General features: G+C 45.2%; 1 protein-coding gene across 11 annotated transcripts in view, besides 1 other annotated feature; it reads right to left on the minus strand.

Moving 5' to 3' along the window:
- Positions 1-12254, minus strand: part of MTCH2 (mitochondrial carrier 2) — a 38243-nt gene extending 25989 nt beyond the window's left edge. For 5 of the 11 annotated variants that reach the window (XM_011519961.3, XM_011519959.3, XM_006718172.3 and 2 more), the window contains exons 1-8: positions 12074-12254; positions 8662-8746; positions 8394-8500; positions 5240-5266; positions 4367-4429; positions 1349-1406; positions 731-782; positions 250-309 (exon numbers count right to left, since the gene is read on the minus strand). In XM_011519961.3, coding sequence (XP_011518263.1) covers positions 250-309; positions 731-782; positions 1349-1406; positions 4367-4429; positions 5240-5266; positions 8394-8500; positions 8662-8746; positions 12074-12160 — 539 coding nt within the window. In that variant the 5' untranslated portion in view covers positions 12161-12254. The remainder of the gene's footprint in view (positions 1-249; positions 310-730; positions 783-1348; positions 1407-4366; positions 4430-5239; positions 5267-8393; positions 8501-8661; positions 8747-12073) is intronic. The other 6 variants (XM_011519960.4, XM_017017462.3, NM_001317232.2 and 3 more) reach the window with 4 other exon arrangements.
- Positions 12175-12444: a silencer, noted in NCBI's record as "silent region_3337". NCBI's record gives its function as "represses an Ori minimal core promoter by ATAC-STARR-seq in GM12878 lymphoblastoid cells {active_cell/tissue: GM12878}" and the evidence as "EXISTENCE:reporter gene assay evidence [ECO:0000049][PMID:35858748]".

Here is a 14129-nt window from a genome sequence, read left to right on the forward strand (position 1 = left end):
CTCAAATGTTTTAAGTATCTAGAAGTAAAGGTTTGGGATCTTTACAAGATAATTCTAGTCATATGGGGCCTAAATATGCCTTTCTGCAGAGAAAAAAGAAAAAAAAATAAGGGGCCTAAATAGAATGTAACGTGAGGTAAGCCCAGGGAGTACGTTTTCCCCAAGGATTAAACAAAGACTCACTATTCTTACTTTCAGAAAACGTTTCCCACTCATGCAAAAATTACACACTAATCAACATTTACTCACGCGAAAAATCCTAGAATGCCCTCTTCCCGATAGATGGTTATTATGGAATCACAAAGTCCACTACGTACACAAGAAGAAAAGGTAAAATATATTAAGATTCTTTTGGAGCTATAAACAAAATAATTTCAATTATCACATTGGACAAGGTCAAATCCACGACCTCCTTCCCTCACACTTTTCTAGCACTCTCTCACTCTGCAAAGATAGCTAAATTTGGAGATAGAAGTGAAAATATTAACTACCTAGGGGTATAGTCATATGGAGTCAGGGGCTCTGCAACTTACTCTGAAATCCTACGTAGGCTACTAAACCTGCCTGGGTATATTTTCTCCCATTTTATTGTTTTTTGTGCAGATCAAATGACATCAGATACGAATTTGTTCTACAAATTGTAAGGGTATCATAAAAATACAAAGTAGTATTATTCTAGTACTTTGGCTTCAAAAGATCTCCTTGAGTATGTGAAAACAAAAATACTTACCAGTACTTGGATTCTCTGCCAATGAACTGTACCATAGATCTCAGAGTGATCACTGTGGAATATAGAGAAAAGATGTTTACAACTATGTTAAGGCCAGGTGCGGTGGCTCACACCTGTAATCCCAGCACTTTGAGAGGCCGAGGTGGGCGGATCACCTGAGGTCAGGAGTTCAAGACTAGCCTGACCAATATGATGAAGCCCCATCTCTACTAAAAATACAAAAATTATCCAGGCGTGGTGGCATGCACCTGTAATCCCAGCTCCTTAGGAGGCTGAGACAGGAGTACTGCTTGAACCCGGAAGGCTGAGGTTGCAGTGAGCCAAGATTGTGCCATTGCACTCCAGCCTGGGCAACAAGAGTGAAACTCCGTCTCAAAAACAAAAAACAAACAAACAAAAAAAAACTATGTTAAGATAGATTTTGATAGCCCTGGGAAAAAAAAAGATTTTCCACCTAAAGACATTTTGCTATCTGGATAAATTGGATAAAAGCCAAAACAAGCAAGCAAACAAAAACATGCAGGCAAGGCATTTTAGTCAACTCCCACGTCAACCTATCTAAGTGGTCAGGAGAGATCAGGTTATAAAAGAAAGGTCAGTTGTCAACTGCAAACATACCATGGAAGGGATGTGTGATGAGGGTAGCAGCAGAACGAGCGATCATCTCTCGAGTTGTCTAGAAACAATCAACACACACTTCTGAAATCTAAACAAATGACACTCAAATGCCTGTGAGAAGGAATGTGGGTGGATATCGTGGTATAGGATAAGAAAGTGAATGACACAGCCCTCCTGCCCTGGCTGGAGTCAAGAAGAGTTTGAATGGGATGTGAAAGATCTCATTCATTGTCATTTTATCATACTTTTCACTCATGGATCTCAATGTTCTATTATAGTTACTTCTCAAAATTTCTCTGCAAAGCAGGCTTCTGTTGTTTTCTCAATTTTACAGGTAAGAGAAAAAAATAAAGAAACAGGAAAGGTCACCAACAAAGTCATTAAGCTGAAATAAAAAATATGAGGCCTTTATTGAGATTATTAAGTTGCTCTCTTATTGGTAAGTGATTTTGGAGAGTCTGACATCATTCTAGATAAATGACAGGCTCCATTTAGTCTCTACTCACATTTTTGGGAGAAGAGAACAATTTTGTTTTGTGACTACAACCCAGTAACTGTGCAGTATCTTAGAGCTGCTGTGTTTTTCCTAGTTTATCTTTCTACTCTAGGGCTCTGTAAGGAAGTAATAAAGAAAATTAAATTATAATCTTTGCATTTAGGTTCTGGGATTGCAAATGTAAGCAGGTCTACCATTGGCTTTTGCATTTTTTTTTTTTTTTTAGGACAGTCTTGCTCTGTCACCCACGCTGGAGTGCAGTGGCGCGAACTCGGTTCACTGCAAGCTCCGCCTCCCGGGTTCACGCCATTCTCCTGCCTCAGCCTCCCAAGTAGCTGGGACTACAGGCACCCGCCATCATGCCCGGCTAATTTTTTTTCTTTGTATTTTTTAGTAGAGACGGTTTCACCGTGTTAGCCAGGATGGTCTCGATCTCCTGACCTCATGATCCGCCCGCCTCGGCCTCCCAAACTGCTGGGATTACAGGCATGAGCCACCGTGCCTGGCCGGCTTTTGCATTTAAACAGTATCTTTATGGTCACTGAGTTTTTTCTTTTCTTTTTTTTTGAGACAGAGTCTTGCTCTGTTGCCCGGGCTGGAGTGCAGTGGTGCGATCTCAGCTTGCTGCAACCTCCACCTCCCAGGTTCAAGTGATTCTCCCGCCTCAGCCTCCTGAGTAGCTGGGATTACAGGCACACACCACCATGCCCAGTTAATTTTTTTTGTATTTTTAGTAGAGATGGGATTTCGCCATGTTGGCCAAGCTGGTTTTGAATGCCTGACCTCGTGATCTGCCCGCCTCAGCCTCCCAAAGTGCTGGGATTATAGGTGTGAGCCACCACACCCGGCCTAGTCACTGAGTTTTAAGACAGCCCTCACCCCTTCTCCAAGGGCATAAGATCCTATGGGACTGGATGGGCAAACTAAGGAAAATACTAATTGCATAGTAATACATGTATCCCTGCTTTTTTTTTTTTTTTGAGAGGGAGTCTCGCTGTCTCCCAGGCTGGAGTGCAGTGGCGCAGTCTTGGCTCACTGCAAGCTCCACCTCCCAGGTTCACGCCATGCTCTTGCCTCAGCCTCCCGAGTAGCTGGGACTACAGGCGCCTGCCACCATGCCCAGCTAATTTTTTTGTATTTTTCGTAGAGACGGGGTTTCACCGTGTTAGCCAGGGTGGTCTCAATCTCCTGACTTCGTGATCTGCCCGCCTCGGCCTCCCAAGGTGTTGGGATTACAGGTGTAAGCCACCACGCCCGGCCGTATCCCTGCTTTTAAGCAAACTAATTTCATGAAAATTTACAGAAAATAGAGCTAATTTATCTGGTTTCCAGACCTTTAGTAATGTTTGTTTTGGAATATATATATATATATATATATTTTTTTTTTTTTTTTTTTTTTTTCTTGAGATGGAGTCTCACTCCTGTGGCCCAGGCTAGAGTGCAATGGTGCAATCTTGGCTCATTACAACCTCTGCCTCCCGGGTTCAAGCCATTCTCCTGCCTCAGCCCCCCAAGTAGCTGGGATTACAGACATGCGCCACCATGCCTGGCTAATTTTTGTATTTTTAGTAGAGACGGGGTTTCTCCATGTTGGTCAGGCTGGTCTCCAACTCCCAACCTCAGGTGATCCGCCCGCCTCGGCCTCTCAAAGTGCTGGGATTACAGGCATGAGCCACTGCGCCCAGCCTTTGGAATATGTATTTTGGATGGCTGCATTTCCTGGATAATTGTGACTTCATTAATGACAATTAAGACAATGTGAAGACTTAAGTAATAAGAGAATAGTTCTGAAAGCCAGGCACAGAAACACCTATGGCAGCATATGGGGGTGGGAAATGGGTGATGAGGAACTTTTCAGAGTCAGAAAAATGTCAAAAGAGCCTTTCTGCATAGATACTATCCAACATACAAAGGGCCTGGTCGCTATTTTAATACTTTTTTCTAAAGACAAGGTCTTGCTCTATCACACAGGCTGGAGTATGGTGGCACAATCATAGCTCACTGCAGCCTCAACTTCCTGGGCTTAAGTCATCTTCTCACCGCAGCCTCTCGAGTACCTGGGACTACAGATATGTGCCACCACACACCTAGCTAATTTTTCTATTTTTTTTGTAGAGAGGAAGTCTCACTATGTTGCATAGGCTGGTCTCTAACTCCTGGGGTCAAGTGATCTTCCTGCCTTGGCCTCCCAAAGTGCTGGGATTACAGGCGTGAGCCACCACACCTGGCCTATTTTAACACTTTTATTCCTGAGGTTTTCAACACTATTAGAAGACTTTCAGTATTCTAAAGACGGAATGTGTGGGCAAAATGAGTTTTCTTGAAATGCATCTATTCTGAACAGCAAGCACTGATCCTCTCTCTTTTTAATGTTATACATGTAGTAAAGCCCAAATTAATTTGAAGGTTTAATTTCATTTGGGAACAGACACTGAACACACAGGCCTGATGATTCTGATTCCATAGTTGCAACACCACAGTTTGATCTGGGCAAACAGCACAGGATGTAATTCATCTCTTACCTCCTTGATAACGTGGTCAAAGGAAGATGAGACTTCTTTCTGTACATTTCCAGGTCCTAACTCCTGGAAATCAAAATCAAAGAAAATAGAGATCTTGATTTTTTTTTTTTTTTTTTTTTGAGACAGAGTCTCGCTCTGTCGCCCAGGCTGGAGTGCAGTGGCACAATCTCGGCTCACTGCAAGCTCCACCGCCTGGGTACAAGTGCTTCTCCTGCCTCAGCCTCCCAAGTAGCTAGGATTACAGGTGCTCGCCACCACGCCCTGCTAATTTTTGTATTTTTAGTAGAGACGGGGTTTCACCGTGTTAGCCAGGATGGTCTCGATTTCCTGACCTCGTGATCTCCACCTGCCTCGGCCTCCCAAAGTGCTGGGATTACAGGCATGAGCCACCATGGGCGGCCGATCTTGACGGTTTTTATTTCTTTTGAGATAGGGTCTCGCTCTGTCACTCACGCGGAGTGCAGTGATGTGATCATGGATCACTGCAGTCTTGACGTCCTGGACTCAAGTGATCCTCTCACCTCAACCTCCCATGTAGCTGAGATACAGAGGTATGTGCCACCAGGCCCCGCTAATCTTTGATTTTCTGTAGAGAAGGGGTCTATGTTGCCCAGGCTGGTCTCAAACTCTTAGATGCAAGTGATCCTCCCACCTTGGCCTCCGAAACTGCTAGGATTACAGGCATGAGCCACCATGCCCAGCCATCCTGATGGTTTCAAACAGAACTGTCCAAACTGGTGGCCACCCCATAGGACAACACTCACTGAGATGAATAGGAGACTGACTACTTGGCTTTTCTCCAAAAGAGGCCCCAAAAGCAGTAACAACTTGCAAGGGAAAGGCCCTCATGCTTAGAAATCAGCTCCAACATACCTCACCCTTGTCACTCTCCTGGTAATGCTATAGAAAAAAAGAAAAAGGATGATTAGGGTTATTACAGTGTCATGTGAAAGAAGACATAAAATGAAAACTCTACTGACAGAAAGTAAATTAGCTGAAGTTTTTTTTAAAGTTTTTGTTTTTTTTTTTAAGCTGCAAATCTTCAGTTAACTTCTACTCATTAATCAACTGGAAATATGGATCTCCAAGATAAACTTGTTGCTAAGTTTAACATATTGGTCAGTTGGAAGAAAAGCAAATGGTCATGAAAACTCTTCTTTGAAAAAAGAAAAGGGGACAGGTGTGGTTGCTCATGCCTGTAATCCCAGCACTTTAGGAGGCCGAGGTGGGCAGATCACCTGAGGTCAGGAGTTCAAGTCTAGCCTGGCCAACATGGTGAAACCCCATCTCTACTAAAAATACAAAAATTAGCGGAGCATTGGGGCGCACGCTTTTAATCCCAGCTCTTAGGGAGGCTGGGGCAGGAGAATCACTTGAACCCAGGAGGCAGAGGTTGCAGTGAGCCAAGATCACGCCACTGCACTGCAGCCCAGGTGACAGAGCAAGAGTCCGTCTCAAGAAAAAAAAAAAGAAAAGGGAAGGCTGGGTGCGGTAGCTCACGCCTATAATCTCAGCACTTTGGGAGGCCAAGGCAGGTGGATCACCTGAGGTTAGGAATTTGAGACCAGCCTGGCCTACGTGGTGAAACTCCATCTCTACTAAAAGTACAAAAATTAGCTGGGCTTGGTGGCGGGCGCCTGTAATCCCAGCTACTTGGGAAGCTGAGACAGGAGAATTGCTTGAACCCGGGGGGTAAAGACTGCAGTGAGCTGAGATCACATCACTGCACTCCAGCCTGGGCAACAGAGCAAGACTCCATCTCAGAAAAAAAGAAAAGGGGCCGGGCATGGTGCCTCACGCCTGTAATCCCAGCACTTTGCGTGGCTGAGGCAGGCGGATCACCTGACGTCAGGAGTTTGAGAACAGCCTGGCTGACATGGCGAAACCCCCTCTCTACTAAAAATACAAAAATTAGCTGGGCGTGGTGGTAGGTGCCTGTAATCCCAGCTACGTGGGAAGCTGGGGCAGGAGAATTGCTTGAACCCGGTAGGTGGAAGCTGCAGTGAGCCGAGACCATGCCATTGCACTCCAGCCTGGGCAACAAGAGTGAAACTCTGTCTCAAAAAAAAACAACAAAAAAACCCAAAAAACGAAAAGGGAACATGCGCAGTGACTCACGCCTGTAATCCCAACACTTTGGAAGGCCGAAGAGGGAGGACTGCTTGAGCCCAGGAATTCAAGACCAGACTGGGCAACATAGTGAGACTTTGTCTCTAAAAAAATAATAATAAATTTAAAGAAATAATTACAAAATAAGAACAACAACAAAAAAGAAAATTCAAGAACTCTGTTTTTTTTTTTTTTTAGATGGAGTTTCACTCTTGTCACCCAGCTGGAGTGCAATGGTGCAATCTCGGCTCACTGCTGGAGTGCAATGGTTCAATCTCAGCTCACTACAACCTCTACCTCCCAGATTCAAGCGATTCTCCTGCCTCAGCCTCCTGAGTAGCTGGGATTACATGCGCCCACCACCACGCCTGGCTAACATCTGTATTTTTAGTAGAGACAGTGTTTCACCATGTTGGCCAGGCTGGTCTCAAACTGCTGACCTCGGCTGATCCACCCGCCTCAGCCTCCCAAAGTGCTGGGATTACAGGCATGAGCCACTGCGCCTGGCCAAGAACTTTCAGTTTTAACAGAAAATAAGTCAGTAAAAACATAGCCCAGGGTTCCCACTTTTCTCATGGAAAACGCATGACCAATACCAAATTAGGGCAAGACTCTTTTCTTCCCTGCATAAAAGGACAGAGAATTGATATTAAGACTGAAGAGCTGAAATCGCCTCACTTTCTCCTTTGTATCTGATGGTTTCTAAAACAAGCAAGAGGTTTTTTTTTTCTCTTCTAGAGAAGAGATCATGAATACTGCCAGAGCCCAGAGAAAAATTCTTGCAAGAGGAATTTTTTGTGGCGTATTTTGGAAATAGAATGTGAGCTAGGTGAAAATAAAATTATCAATTGAGAGCTCCTTCTTGTGTAACCACCAGTTTTATTGTTTTCTTATTTTTTAATGTCAGTTTTATTATTTTCTAGCCATATCAGATTTCAAAAATAGACAACATTTTCTCTTGTAAAAAGAATTGTGTTTAAAAAAATCACGGGCAAGAGAACAAATGTGAAGATAAAGCAAAGTAATGTATTTTGGCCAAATTCCAGGTCCTTGGCTAGAATTAATTCTAATAGCTTCAGGTCTCTAAATTTTCACTTGTTTCTATACTTTGTTATTTACTCCATCGATATAATTATCTAACCTGTCTTCTACATTTCCTGAATTTCATTTTAATTCTTGTTCAGTTTACAAAATTATTTCTTGTAAAGGTTAATAATTTTCTCAGCCCTGCATAGATCCTTCTTCTTGACTGTACAAGCAGCTTTGGATGCTAAGTGTAGTACCAACCCTGTAATATTTCACTGGACTACATTTGGAACATATTCAGGGTACCTGGTTACCTCAAGTTTGTCTTACTTTACAGTTACATAAAGTAACTTAGTCTCAAGCAGCACTTTCTCTTTTTCTCTAAGTCTATACACAAACCTCTTTGGCTAGATGACAACTGCCTTTCCATATGTAAATTTCATGGAAGTAACAGCAACAATTTCACTGAGTCCCGCCGGGCGCGGTGGCTCATGCTTGTAATCCCAGCACTTTGGGAGGCCGAGGCGGGCGGATCACGAGGTCAGGATATTGAGAACACGGTGAAACCCTGTCTCTACTAAAAATACAAAAAATTAGCCGGGCGCAGTGGCGGGAGCCTGTAGTCCTAGCTACTCAGGCTGAGGCAGGAGAATGACGTGAACCCGGCAGGCGGAGTTTGCAGTGAGCCCAGATCGCGCCACTACACTCCAGCCTGGGCGACAGAGTGAGACTCCATCTCAAAAAAAAAAAAAAAAAAAAAGAAAGTGTTTTTCAAGAGGAAGAAAGGACAGGGTTATAAATGTATCTTTTAAATTGCTCTTGATATTTAGAACAAACTATGCATAACAGGTAAGCAACATCTATGGGAAGATTGATTTAATTTTCCTCTTACCTGTAAAACTTTACCATGGACCACAGTTCCAAGGACTCCCGAACACAGTCTTGGAGTTAAGCCTGTGAACAACCCGCGCCTCCCATCGATACTGGCAATGTGCTGAGCTAAGAACACAAGTCAGAGATGTTGTCAAGTTCTGGTCAAGAGAAATGGATATACTACAATTTCAAAGAAACAAGCTTTCTATATATTTTCTTTCAATAACAACTCCTGCCTATCACAGTCCTCAACGTCATGCAAACCCAAATAAATCAAAGGCACTTACCATAACTAAAGAGACCAGGAAGCTGACACACTTGCCGCCCAAAAATATTTCGTCCTATTGTTGGAGGAAGAGGCTCATATCCCACCTTTAAAAACAATGGAATATATCAATATTAAAGCAATATTTCCAGAAATGTCTTGCTTGCAAGGTCTTGAATAAAGAACACAATTTGGGTTATTTTTAAACACAAGTAAAAATGCAGCATAGGTTTTCCAAGGCAATGATGAAGCATCATTCTTGTAGGTTTTTCTTCTGTTGGTAATACTGAGTTCAATAAACTCCAAGTTTCATTTTGGTTCAAATTCTATGACGTAAACCATGTAGCTGAAATAGGCTAATATCAAACTGAAAGAAGGGAACTTTTGCGTTAGGAAAGCTACAGTTTACTAAGGGGGCTCAAAAATACCTTCTAAATAAAATCTAAGGCACATTTTGTATTTGAACAAAACTAGAAGACATCCATTACGCCAGCATCAGCTGCATATTTGGCAACCCAGACAAAACACTCAAAAGGCAAATGCAGATATAGCTGGATAATTCACTTAGGAAAGAATTACAAGCTAACTTCATGTTAGAAGAACAGGCTGTCGGTCGGGCGCAGTGGCTCATGCCTTGTAATCCCAGTACTTTGGGAGACCGAGGGGGATGGATCACCTGAGGTCAGGAGTTCGAGACCAGTCTGGCCAACATGGTGAAACCCTGTCTCTACTAGAACTAAAAAATTAGCCGGGCGTAGGGGCGGGCGCCTGTAATCTCAGCTACTTGGGAGGCTGAGGCAGGAGAATCACTTGAACCCGGGAGGCAGAGGTTGCAGTGAGCCGAGATTGTGTCACTGCACTCCAGCCGAGGCCGACAACAGCGAGACTCCATCTCAAAAACAAACAAACAAACGAACAAACAAAAAAACACAGGCTGTCATTAACAGCTAATGAAGTCCATTTTATATAGTTAATGATTACCATGGTCTTTGTACAATATACCCAGGATTTTTAACACTACAGATACTTGACAGAATGAATGCTGTAGGACATAGTTTTGATTATTGTTGTGACTCTTAATCTGTCCTATTAAGTAACTCCTGGGCTGGCGTGGTGGCTCATGCATGTAATCCCAGCACTTTGGGAGGCCAAGGTGGGCGGATCACCTGAGGTCAGGAGTTCAAGACCAGCCTGGCCAACATGGTGAAACCCTGTCTCTACTAAAAACACAAAAATTAGCCAGGTGTGGTGGCGGACACCTGTAATCCCAGCTACTCAAGAGGCTAAGGCAGGACAGTCGCTTGAACCTGGGAGGCGGAGGTTGCAGTGAGCCGAGATTGTGCCATTGCATGCCAGTCTGGGTGACAAGAGCAAAACTCCATCTCAAAAACAACAACAAATAAATAAACAAATAACTCCTGTCTGAGCTCCCTGAAAGTGCTACCAAGTAACCATTTTTATTTTTATTTAGTTACTTATTTATTTTTTGGAGACAGAGTTTCGCTCTTGTCGCCCAGGCTGGAGTGCAGTGGCACGATCTAGGTCACTGCAACCTCCATCTCCCAGGTTTAAGCCATTCTCGTACCTCAGCCTCCTGAGTAGCTGGGATTACAGGCACCCACCACCACACCCAGCTAATTTTTGTATTTTTAGTAGAGAGGGGGTTTTGCCATGTTGGCCAGGCTAGTCTTTAACTCCTGACCTCAGGTGAACCGCCTGTTTCAGGCTCCCAAAGTGTTGGGATTTACAGGCGTGAGCCACCGTGCCCGGCCCAAGTAACTATTTTTACAACTGAGCATTTGGGAATTTCACCAAAACTCCTGGGCTACTTGGCAACACATAGATGTTGTGAAATCAGAATTAAGAATATTCAAAGTTTTTGGGGCAAGAGCTCTGAACATCATTAGAAAACCCCGTCTCCCAGAGAAGTATTGAGTAGTGGGTTCTTTTTTGTTTTGTTTTGTTTTTTTGAGGCTGAGTTTTGCTCTGTTGCCCAGGCTGGAGTACAATGGCGCGATCTCGGCTCACTGCAACCTTCACCTCCCGGGTTCAAGCGATTCTCCTGCCTCAGCCTCCCGACTAGCTGGGATTACGTGCACGCACCACCACACCTGGCTATATTTTGTATTTTTAGTAGAGACGGGGTTTCACCATGTTGGTCAGACTGGTCTCAAACATCGACCTCGTGATCCGCTCACCTCGGCCTCCCAAAGTGCTGGGAAGGCGTGAGCGAACGCGCCCGGCCCCAAGGGTTCTTACTATATACTGCAACATGCTGTCACCTCCGATGCTATCTAGCCCCAAATGTGCCAATTCTGTTTTGGATGTTACAGTACATTCTAATCAGTCTTTGTTCTAAGTACAAAGAATTTATTTGCAATAGCCTTTAACATATGGAATCTGAATTCACACAGGTCTACTCAGCAAGAAATAATTTGGATTCCCAACAACTCAAGAATAAGAAATGGGGCCCTCTCTAGTGTCTTGCCTATTTTTTACAGAAAAGTAGACGGCGAGACAGGGGTTCTAAAAACTGTTCCATTCCTAGGCACAGTGCATGAGGTAATTATGTCAACTCTCAGTAAAAGCATAAAAAAAAGAATGACCTGCCCATTACAGGGATATAGCAAAGGAACTGGAAACACTAAGTCTATCACTTACTTGGCCTACCTGCATGTGAATATAAAATACCATGTAATAATTATTTGACAGTAGATTAGAAACTAACTCCCATGTTTAAACTCGCTAAAACTCAGCTTCACTAATTTCCAGCTCTGACAAATGTGATTTTCATTGTCAGGAGCCACATGGGCCGCTGCTGGAAAGCGCTCAATGCATCCTTCCGAAATCTGACAGAGCAACCCCTTCATTAACACTTCTGAATGAGCTCCTTGTGTTTCTCTCAGTATCTGGTGCGAAAACCTCGGAACAGAAAAGCAGTAGTAACAGTAGCATAAAAAGAAAAAAAAAAGGAATAAAAAATAAAATGTTGGTTCCCACCTAACTTCACATTTGTCTTCAACTGAGTATTTCGTGTTTTGCGTCTGAGATTTTGGGGGGAGTAGTGGTGAATGTGAATTTCGGAGGGGCGAGAGGGAGGGTTCGGAAGCCTTTGGTGGCGACCGGCCAGGATCCACCTCAGTGACGAAGAACCAAAGTTCAGAGGATCCGCCGGGCAGGGCAGGGCCGGGTGGCGGTTGGCTAAGGGAGGAGAGGGCCTCAACGCTGGGCGGCGAGGCGAGGGCTCGGCGAGGCCCCCAAGCGGGGCCGCGGGACTGAGGAAGCTGTCCCTGCGGGGAGGTAAAGGGCAGCGGAGGAGCAGCAGCATCTCGGGAGAATGAAAGGCCCGCAAGGCTGAGCCGATCCTCAGGCGCCCTGAGCAGCAGCGACCGAACGGGGCGCCGGGCGGGGTAGGGAGCGGCGACGCCTCATACCTGGATGAGCACTTTCACGTACATGAGCGGCTGGGACAGGATGGTGAGACCGGAGCCCAGGAGCACCTGACTGGCCGCGTCCGCCATGATGGCACCCGCGGGCGGACGGACAGACAGACGGAGCCACCAAGCGACCCGGTGAGCCGGTCCTAGGTCACGTGCCAGGGCCGCCGGTTTCACTGGCCCGCCCGCGGCGCGCGCGCACGCACGCAGCAGCACGCGCCTCTCCGCCCAGTCCCCGCCCCCCCGTCCCGCCCCGAGAAACGGCAGGCGCTCGCGAGGGGGCGCTGAGGTCGGGGCGGGGCTTAAGGGACAGAGGCGCATGCGTTCTGCCGGGGGCTCGCCCTTCACCAGGAATGACGGTTTCTCTTGCACATGCGCTTCCAGGCCGCAAGTGTCCGGAAACAGAAGAATGGGAGTGTCAGTGGGGGAGTGTGACCGTGACGGCAGAGGCAAGGTCAGAGGACTGAAAAGAAATTGAAAAGGATTCTTCATTATGCTTCATCTCTGCACTTGCCTTTTGGGCATCATCAACATAGGATTCAAAAGATACTCAGCATCAGAGCCGTAACAGTCTCGTGACTGACAAACTCTAAATAAGTATAGCAAATAATGAATCCGCTAGCGAGTGGCTTTTCATTCATTTATTCGTTTGATTAATGTTATCTTTTCAAAAAAACCTTCTCTGACCATTCTAAAATTACCTCCCCCTTTTCTTTTTCTTTCTTTTTTTTTTTTTTTTTGAGACGGAGTCTCGCTCTGTCACCCAGGCTGGAGTGCAGTGGCCCGATCTCAGCTCACTGCAACCTTCGCCTCCCAGGTTCAAGCAATGCTCCTGCCTCAGCCTCCCTAGTAGCTGGGATTACACGCACACGCCACCACGCCCGGCTAATTTTTGTCTATTTAGTAGAGACGGGGTTTCACGATGTTGGCCGGGCTGGTCTCAAACTCCTGACCTCGTGATTCACCCGCCTTGGCCTCCCAAAGTGCTGGGATTACAGGAGTGAGGAGCCATCGCGCCTGGCCACCTCCCTCTTATTTTCTCCCACATTGTGCCCCGTCGTAGCATTATCACTGAAATTATGTCTCCTCCACTGGAATGAAAGCTCCATGAGTTCAGGAACCGTGACAGCCTCTGTTCACGGTTGTGTTTTCAGTGCCCAGCACATACGAGGTGCTCAATAAATATTTATTGCACAAGTGAACAAATACTTCAGTGCCTACCAGTCTACAGGCTATCAGAGGCAAAAGTGAAAAAGGCATTGTCCCTGCTCCTTCAGCCCCAGCTCACGTGTTCTATCAAACAACATTTGGTGAATCTGAGCTTGGAGCAGAGTGAAGTACTGTAGGGGAAAGACTTGGATTTGGATCCTGGCTTTTCCACTGCATCCATTTGTCATTTTAGCTACTTTAATTTCCAGTTTTTGTATCTAAATCTAACACTACTGTGTATCTCTCAGGGTTATTATGAGCATTAAGTGAAATTATGCATAGGAAAGGGTTTTTTTTAAAAAACTTTATATTGAAATACAGATATTGGCTGGGCACGGTGGCTCACACCTGTAATCCCAACACTTTAGAAGGCTGAGGTGGGTGGATCACCTGAGGTCGGGAGTTCAAGACCAGCCTGACCGACATGGTGAAACCCCATCTGTACTAAAAGTACAAAAATTAGTTGGGTGTGATGGCGGGTGCCTGTAATCCCAGCTACTCGGGAGGCTGAGGCAGGAGAATCGCTTGAACTCGGGAGTTGGAGGTTGCAGTGAGCCAAGATTGCGCCATTGCACTCCAGCCTGGGTGACAGGGCGAGACTCAGTCTCAAAAGAATAAATAAATAAAAAATAAAGTTGTAAGAAACAAGTTGCTTCTAACTGAATCTAGAAACATAAAGCTGAGCCAGAGAGACTATTTAGCAGGGGATTCTTTTCTTTTTTTTTTTGAGACAGGGTCTCTCTTTGTCACCCAGGCTGGAGTGCAGTGGTGCAATCTCGGCTCACTGCAACCTCCACCTCCTGGGCTCAAGCGATCCTCCTACCTTAGTCTCCCAATTAGCTGG

Source organism: Homo sapiens, chromosome 11, assembly GCF_000001405.40.
Source record: "Homo sapiens chromosome 11, GRCh38.p14 Primary Assembly".
NCBI lineage: Eukaryota > Metazoa > Chordata > Mammalia > Primates > Hominidae > Homo > Homo sapiens.